A 9,526-nucleotide genomic window follows, 5' to 3' on the forward strand; every position below is an offset into this window, starting at 1 on the left:
TTCACTTAGCAAAATCACCATGTATTCATGGAGGTTGTTGCCTGTGTCAGTAGTTTATTCTTCTCACTACTGGGTAGTATTGCACTACACAGATATACCACAGCATTATTTATCCATTCAACTGTTGAAAGACACTTGGGTGGTTTCCAGTTTCTGGTGATTGTGAATAAAGCTGCTATACAAGTTTTTGTGCAAATGTTAAGTTTTAATTAGTCTAGGGCAAATACACAGGAGAGGGATTGTTGGGTCATAATGTACCCATAATGTAGTTGTATATTTACCTTTGTAAGAAATTACCAAATTGTTTTCCATAGAGGCTGTACCATTTTGCATACCCACTACCAATGTATGAAAGTTTAGTTACTCCACATCCTTGCTGGATATTGATATTGTCAGAATTTTTAATTTTAGCCATTTTAGGAGGTGAATACTGACAGCTCATTATGGTGTTAATTTGCATTTCCTTAGTGATTTATGCTATTGAACTCTTTTCATGTGCCGCCATGTGTTCTCTTTGGTGACATATCTACATATCTATTCAAGTTTTTCCCACATTTTAAAGAACTAGGTTGTTTGTTTTCTCACCATTGTGTTATGAGAGTTGTTTTTATATTCTGAAAACAAGTTCTTGGTTGGATATGTGATTTACGAATATTTTTCTCCCAGTTCATAGTTTCTCTTTTCTATTCTGACAAAACAAAAATTTTCAATTTTTTTTTTTTTTTGGTGGAGGAGACAGGGTCTCACTCTGTTGCCCAAGCTGGAGCACAGTGGCACCAACATGGCTCACTGCAGCCTTGACCTCCTAGGCTCAAGGGATCCTCCTATCTCAGCCTCCTGAGTAGCTGGGCCCACAGGCACATGCCACCATGCTCAGCTAATTTTTTACTTTTTTATTTTTTGGCAGAGATGGAGTCTCACCATGCTGCTCAATTGCTCAGGCTGGTCTTGAACTCCGGGGCACAAGCAATCCTCCTACCTTGGCCTCCCGAAGTGCTGGGATTATAGGTGTGAGCTACTGCGCCTGCCCAAACATTTTCAATTTTTCTGAAACAAATTATCAACTTATTCTTTTATGGATTGTGCTTTTGGTTCAAGTTTGCCTAACCCCAGGTTAGGAAGATTTTTCTCCTATATTTTCTTCTAAAAGTGTTATGGTTCTATATTCATATCTATGATCCATTTTGGATAAAGTTTTGTTTGGATTTTCATTTTGTTCTTTTGCCCATAATGTTCAGTTGTTTCAACACTATTTTTTGAAAAGACTGCTATTACACCATTGAATTGTCTTTTCACCTGTGTCAAAAATAAGTTGATTATATTTGTGTAAGTCTATTTCTAGGCTCTCTATCCTACTTCATTGATTTGTATATTTTTCCCTTGGTCAGAACAACCAAGTCATGATTATGGTAGTTTTATAGTAAGTCTGAAAGTCAGATAGTATGATTCTATCAACTTTATGCTTCTTCAGAATAGTTTTGGTTATTCTCATTCCTTTGCCTTTCTATATAAATTCAAGAATCAGCTTGTCTATACTTAAAAAGATCCTGCAATGATTTTGATTGAAATGAAAACATTTATTATGTTTTTTTCCAATCTATGAACATAGCATATCTCTCATTCAGCGTTTTTTTTTTTTTTTTTTCTTGAGACGGAGTCTTATTCTCTCACCCAGGCTTGAGTGCAGTGGCGCGATCTCGACTCACTGCAAGCTCCACCTCCCGGGTTCATGCCATTCTTCTGCCTCAGCCTCCCAAGTAGCTGGGACCACAGGTGCCTGCCACCACGCCTGGCTAATTTTTTGTATTTTTAGTAGAGACAGGGTTTCACCGTGTTAGCCAGGATGGTCTCGATCTCCTGACCTCATGATCTGCCCGCCTCGGCCTCCCAAAGTGCTGGGATTACAGGTGTGAGCCACCGCGCCCGGCCGCTTGTTCTTCTTCTTCCTCTTCTTCTTCTTTTTTTTTTTTTTTAAACACAGCATTTTGTAGTTTTTAGTATAAACACCCTTTACATGTTTTGTTAGAATCATACCTAAGTGTTGCAATTTGGAGGGAGCAATTTTAAATGGAATTTTATTTCTTAATTTTAATTTCCAATTGCTCATTGTCAGTAAACAGAAATAAAATTGACTTTTGTGTGTTGATATTGTATCCTGTACAAAGCTCAATTCACTTATTAGTTCTAGAAGTGTAACCAAACTCAGGTCCAGCTGCTCACCACCTATCAAGCTAAAAACACAAGAAGCAATGCATGGTAAAAGAAAAGTAACCTTTATTTCAAATGCCATCAGTGAGGGAGATAGCTGAGCTCAAGTCACAAAGAGATCATCTCAAACTTTTGGGCTGACTGAGGGAGTTTCAAAAGAGAAACTTGCTGTGAGAATCATGTAGGAGTGTTGCAGGGTGCAGCTCTGCATGCCTTGTTCTGATGGCTATCTTGAATAATCATCTATTCAGAGGTCTTGTTGGTGTTATCTTGACTTCAGTCTGGTGGTGGTGAACTAATTGTTTATGGACTCCCCTAAAAAGATGGATTTCCCAAGGCCTCCATGCCTGGTTTGTTTCAAGATTAGTCCCTGGAACTTTTAAACAAGGAGATGGTTAGATAAGTGTGTATGGTGCAAGGGAGTGTCTGGTAGAAAGGGGAGAGAAACAAAGAGTTTCAAAGTACATTTCAAGCCCATATTCTGAGTTTAGACAAAAAAGTTCAGAAATGCATTTTATAGCTAAGATACTCAGTTATAGAAGGGCCTATATGCATTTCTCTTACTTTATTTTACCAATGAACGTCCTTTTAAAAATTTACTTTAATTTTTACTTTTAGAGAGAGTCTTGTTCTGTTGCCTAGGCTGGAGTGCAGTGGTATGATCATGGCTTACTGCAACCTCAAACTCCTGGGTCCAAGCGCTCCTCCCACCTCAGCCTCCCAAATAGCTGGGACTACAGGCATATGCCATCATACCTGGCTCATTTTAAAATTTTGCATAGAGACAGAGTATTACTATGTTGCCCAGGCTGGTCTTGAACTCTTGGCTTGAAGCAATCCTCCTACCTTGGCCTCCCAAAGAGTTGGGATTACAGGCATGAGCCACCATGCCCAGCTGACATCCTTGTTTTATATCTGAGTTTAGATGAAAAGCATGTGTTTTTCACCAATAAGTATGATGTTAGCTATATGTTTTTTCTTAATCATATATGGTTAACTCTTTTTTTAAGAGACAGGCTCTGTTGCCCAGGCTAGAGTGCAGTGGTGTGATCATAATTCACTACAGCCTTGAACTTCTGGGCTCAAGCAATCTTCCAACAAAAGCCTACCTAGTAGCAGGTGCACACCACAATGTCTGGCTTATTTTTAAATTTCTTTGTAGAGAGGGAATCTCACTATGTTGGCCAGGCTTGACTTGAACTCCTGGCCTCAAGTAATCCTCCCACTTTGGCCTCCCAAAGTGCTGGGACTGCAGATGTGAGCCACCACACTCAGGCTGTAACTGGTTAATTTTTTTTCTTTTTTTAAAATTAAGTTCCGGGGTACATGTGCAGGATGTGCAGGTTTGTTACATAGGTAAACATGCGTCATAGTGGTTTGCTGCACCTATCAACCCATTACCTAGGTATTAAGCCCAGTATGTATCAGCTCTTTTCTCTAATGATCTCCCACCCCTGCCCTCCCCAAGAAGTCCCCAGTAAATGTTGTTCCCCTCCCTGTGTCCGTGTATTTTCATTTTTCAGCTCTCACTTATAAGTGAGAACATGTGATGTTTGGTTTTCTGTTCCTGCATTAGTTTGCTGAGGATAACGGCTTCCAGATTCATCCACGTGCCTGCAAAAGATATGATCTCATTCCTTTTTATGGCTGCATAGTATTCTATGGTGTATATGTATCATATTTTCTTTATCCAGCCTATCATTGATGGGCATTTGGGTTGACTCCATGTCTTTGTTATTGTGAGTAGTGCTTCAATGAACATACGTGTGCATGTACCTTTAAAATAGAATGATTTCCATTCCTCTGGGTATATACCCAGTAATGGAATTGCTGGATCAAATGGTATTTCTGGTTCTAAATCTTTGAGGAATCACCACACTGTCTTCCACAATGGTTGAACTAATTTACATTCCCACCAACAGTGTAAAAGCGTTCCTATTTCTCTGGAACCTCGCCACAAGGGAATCTCCTGATCCATGGATTGGAAAAAATTGTGGGAAAAGCATAGTACCCCTGGTTGGTGGCACAGTCCCTCACCACTTCCCTTGGCTGGGGGAGGGAGGTTTCCCTGGTCTGTGCACTTTCTGGGTGAAGTGACACCCCACCCTGCTTCTGCTCTCTTTCCATGGGTTGCGCCCACCACCCAGCCAGTCCCAGTGAGATGAACTGGGTACCTCAGTTGGAAATGCAGAAATCACCCACCTTCTCTGTTGGTCCAGCTTGGAGCTGCAGATGGGAGCTGCTTCTATCTGGCCATCTTGGTCCCTCCCTACCGTTAATTTTTATCAAACATTTTTTTCTGTACTAATTGATAAAATCATGAGGTTTTTCTTGGTCTGTAGTTTTCTTGTGCTGTCCTTGTGTTGTGGCCTTTGTAGTTCAGCAGGTGGAAGGGAATGGTGCCCAGCAGTTTTTTTTCTCCCCCATTGCTTAGCGAGCAGGAAGGAGGGTTTCAGTGTTATAGGATTCCTTCGGTGCTACTTTGCCACCTGGAAATCTCTTTGGCTGCCATGAACTCTGTCCAGGACCTCACTTGAGCCTGCTGGGCTCACTCTACAGGCTCGACCCAGCAGGCTCTGCTTGGCTTGCACCCTGGCCTATATCCCACACAGGCTGTGGGATCCGCACTCAACCTGTGGCTGGACCAGGCATGCTGTGAATGGCTTCCACATTAGGCACTGGCATCTAGATGAGGGGAACATGGTGGCACCTGAAAACTTGGAGACGTCAGTAACCACAGAGCCCCAAAGGGTGTTACAGCTCTTGCCTGGGGAGTCCCAAGTTCTGCCCCCAAGAAATGTTACAGCTCTCTCTCATTCCTGCTGCCCACAGCTTGACGAATGGGGTCTTGTTACAGCTTGTTCAGTCCTGCTGCTCGCAGCTTGGCAAGTTCCGGGTTCTTGTCCCGTGACCAAGAGGAATAAGGTACACGGATACCAGAGAGTGAGTAGGGCAGAGAAGAATTTTACTGAGCAAGAGAAAGAAAGCTCTCAGCAGAGAGGGGGCCCAAGAGCAGGTAGTGAGGCTAAGTGGGGTTTTTATGGGCTCAGAATGGGGGAGTACATGCTGATTGGTCCATAGGTGGGCTGGAAAAAGCACCATTTGATCGGCTAAAATGTATCAAGAAAGTTCTCACTCCAGTCACGGACTCTATCCATAGCTGGCAGCTCGGTTTTCAGGCTTCAGGCTGTCTTTGGCTTGAAGGTTGGGTTTCACCAGGGACCTGTCCCTGTCTGCCTAGGAATTTGTCTGTCTCCTTTTTGCTATCACTTGTCTGATTTTGATATCAGGGTAATGTCCTCATAAAATGGGTTAAGAAGTGTTTCCTTCTCTTCCATTTTCCAAAAGAGGTCATGTACTATTGCTATCATTTTTCTTTACATATTTGGTAGAATTCGCCAGTGAAACCATCTCAGCCTGGAATTTCTTCTTCAGAAGGTTTTAACTGTAAGTTCAACTTTTTATTTTTTTTCGACAGTCTTGCTCTGTCACTCAGGCTGGAGTGCAGTGGCATGATCTTAGCTAACTGCAACCTCCGCCCCCCAGGTTCAAGTGATTGTCGTGCCTCAGCCCCCCAAGTTGAGTAGCTGGGACTACAGGTGTGCACCATCATGTCTAGCTAATTTTTATATTTTTAGTAGAGATGGGGTTTTGCCATGTTGGCCAGGCTGGTCTTGAACTTCTGGCCTCAAGTGATTCACCTGCCTTGGCCTCCCAAAGTGTATAAATTCAACTTCTTTAATAGTTACAGTGCTATTTAGGTTGCTTATTTGTCCTGGGTGAGTTTTGGTACTTTGTGGGTTTTGAGGAATTGGTCCATTTGATCTAAGTTTCCAAATGTATGCAAGTGTAATTTTTCAGTATTCCTTATCCTATTTTTTTAAAGTCTCATTAAGTTGCCCAGTTTGGTCTTCAACTCCTGGGCTCAAGAGATTTTCCCACCTCAGCCTCCCAGGTAGCTCTCCTTTTAGGACCCCCTCCTTTTAACTTATTTTCAAGCAGACAAAAATGAAAATGCAATATATCAAAATTTGTGGGATTGTAGGTAAAGCAGTGTCTAGAGGGAAATTTATAGTATTAGATACTTGTATTAAAAAGATTTCAAATCGATATTCTAAGCTTCCACTTTAATAAATTGGAAATTAAAACGAAAGTAAAACCAAAACAAATGGAAGAAAGGAAATAATGAAGATAATTGCAGAAATCAATGCAATTGAAAACAGATGAATGAGAAAATGAAACCAAAATCTTATTTGAAAAAAAATCACTGAGAATGATAAACCTATAGTCAGAATGACGAGGGAAAAAAGAGAAAAGACACATTAGCAATAGTATGAATGATATCCCTACAGAAGCTACTGCTGGTAAGAAAATAGGCAAAGACTATGAATAACTCTATGGCTATAAATTTGGCAACTGAGGTAAAATGGAACAACTTCTTGAAGGACACAAAGTACTAAAACTCATTCAAGATCAAATATGTATCCTGAATGTTCCTATATCTATTAAAGAAATTGAATTCATGGATAAAAACTTTTAAATAAAACTCCATGCCCAGATTGTTTCAATGGTGAATTCTACAAAATCTCTTCCAGAACATAGAAGAGGAAAAAATACTTCTCTACTCATTTCATGTGATCAGGATTACTCTGATACAAAAAACAGACTTACATAAATGTGGTGATATGGTTTGAATTTGTGTCCCTCCCAAATCTCATGTCAAATTGTAACCCCCAGTGTTGGAAGAGGGGCCTGGTGGGACTTCAATAGATATTTCTCCAAAGATATGTAAATGGCCAAAAAGCAAATGAAAAGATATTCAACATCACTAGAGAAATGCAAGTCAAAACCACAATGAGACACCACATCCATTAGGATGGTTATCATAAAAGAAAAAAGAACCCTAAGAAACAGAAATAATATAAACATTGCTAGTGGAATGTAAAATGGTACAACTATTGTGGAAAACTGTATGATGATACCTCAAAAAATTAAACATGGAATTACTATATGATCCAGCAGTTCCTCTTCTGAGTATATACCCAAAGGAATTGAAAGCAGGGACTCAAACACTTATTTGTATACACATGTTTATAGCAGCATTATTCACAATAGCCCAAAGGTGGAAGCAACCTGAGTGTCCATCAATGAATGAATAAACACCATGTGTTATACACTTACAATGTGTGGTGGTTAATTTTAGGTGTCAACTTGATTAAAGAATACTCAGAAACCTGGTAATCCATTATTTTGGGGTGTGGCTGTGAGGGTGTTTCCAGAGGAGATCAGCATGTGAGTCTGAGTGGACTAGGTAGGGAAGATCTACCCTCAATGTGGGCGGGCACCGTGCAATCTGCTGGGGGCCCAGACAGAACAAAAACAGAGACAAGGTGAATATGTTGGTGTATCTGTGGGATCTGGGGTACACTCTTTCTCTTCTGTCCTTGTGCAACAACTCCAGGCTTCCTGGCCTTTGGGCTTCAGGACTTACACTAGTGGCTTTCTGGGTTCTCAGGTCTTTGGTCTTGGTCTGAGAGTTACACTCTCGGCATCCCTGGGTCTGAAGCCTTCAGACATGGACTGAACCATGCTCCTGGCATTCCAGGGTCTCCAGCTTGCAGACGGCCTGTTGTGGGACTTCTCAGCCTCCATACTGTATGAGCCAATTTCCCTAATAATCCCATAATCCTCTCTTATCTGTCTATCTATCTATCTATCTATCTATCTATCTATCTATCTATCTACCTATCTTTCTATCTCTTATTGGTTCTGTGTCTCTGGAGAACTCTAATACACATTCCTTTTCAGCCTTAAAAGGAAATAAAATTCTGACACATGCCATAACATGGATAGACCTTTAAGACATTATGCACAGAGAAATAAGGCAGGCAAAAAAGGAGAAATATGGCATGACCCTACTTACTTGACCTATCTGGAATGCTCCAGTATATAGAGGAGAAGAAAGTAAGACAGTGGTTACTAGGGGTTGGGACCACTGTCTTGCTTTCTGTCAGGGAGGAATGCGGAATTATTATTTAATGGGTACAGAGTTTCAATTTGGGATGATGAAAAAGTTCTGGAGATGGATGGTAATGATTTTACAACAACATGAATGTACTTAATGTCACTGACCTGTACACCTAAAAATTGCTAAAATGGTAAATTTTATGTTATGTGCATTTCACTGCAATTTTTAAAAAAGGAAAAAAAAATTGTAGTCATCAGTGACTCAGTGCTTATGATGATAGCTATGGAACTGCAGCAATTTGCTACCTCCTTAATTTTCATAGTATTTTATAGGTAAGCAGACAAGCTGAGAAAGTCAAGCTCCATCCATGAGTTGTATTATAGTTTATCTTTCTGGTCTACCAGTAGTTCCTCCCTCTCTGCACATTTCCCTCCCCTCTGCTGCTCATTCTTAAACCCTTGACTTCACAGGCTGGGAGTATTCAGGAAAAAGGCAAGTTTTTAATAGACTTTCTGAATCGTAAACATTTTTTTCTATTTGTGTATGCTGAAATGTTTTTCTTTAATCCTGAATATTTTATTAAATTTGTGATTTTTCTCTTTAATCTGTTAGCATGGTGTATGATGATAATGGGTTTTCTGATGTTGAGCCATTCCTTGCATTCCTTGGGATCACCTTACCTAATCATATTATATACTGTTGAGCTTGATTTGCTATTTTATCTAGGATTCTTTTATCTATATTAATTTCTGCTTTTCCTATGAGGTTTTGTCCAGCTCTGAAATTTTGCCCACCTTACAACTACAAGTTAGCCTGTTACTGTTTCATGGATGCTGGAAGATGTGACACTCCTGGGTCACCGAGAAAGAACTTACGGCTCACAGCAATAAAGAAGTTTACATCAGTTCCCCTTGACCCCTGAATCCCACAAGAGCAAAGTGAAACGTTCCAGACAGGGGCTGCACATGTAGTGAGTTTAGGTGGCATATAGCAGTTGAAGGACACTGGGCTTGGGGAATCTACCTCCTTTATATTATACAACACCTGCCCTTTGCCTCAGAATCTTTTTTTTTTTTTTTTTGAGACGTAGTCTTGCTCTGTCACCAGGCTGGAGTGCAATGGCGCCATCTCGGCTCACTGCAACTTCCAACTCCCCGGTTCGAGCGATTTTCCTGCCTCAGCCTCCGAAGTAGCTGGGATTACAGGCACGCACCATCATGCCTAGCTCATTTTTGTATTTTTAGTAGAGACGGGATTTCACCATGTTGGTCAGGATGGTATCGATCTCCTGACATCATGATCCATCCGCCTCGGCCTCCCAAAGTGCTGGGATTACAGGCGTGAGCCACC

The 9,526-nt window shown here is 40.9% G+C and overlaps 1 annotated feature.

The window, feature by feature from the left end:
- Positions 1,796-1,956: a silencer, noted in NCBI's record as "fragment chr18:33678780-33678940 (GRCh37/hg19 assembly coordinates)". NCBI's record gives its function as "represses an EF-1alpha promoter that drives an FKBP-Casp9 reporter gene in an ReSE screen in K562 erythroleukemia cells {active_cell/tissue: K562}" and the evidence as "EXISTENCE:reporter gene assay evidence [ECO:0000049][PMID:32094911]".

This window comes from Homo sapiens, chromosome 18 (genome assembly GCF_000001405.40).
Source record: "Homo sapiens chromosome 18, GRCh38.p14 Primary Assembly".
NCBI lineage: Eukaryota > Metazoa > Chordata > Mammalia > Primates > Hominidae > Homo > Homo sapiens.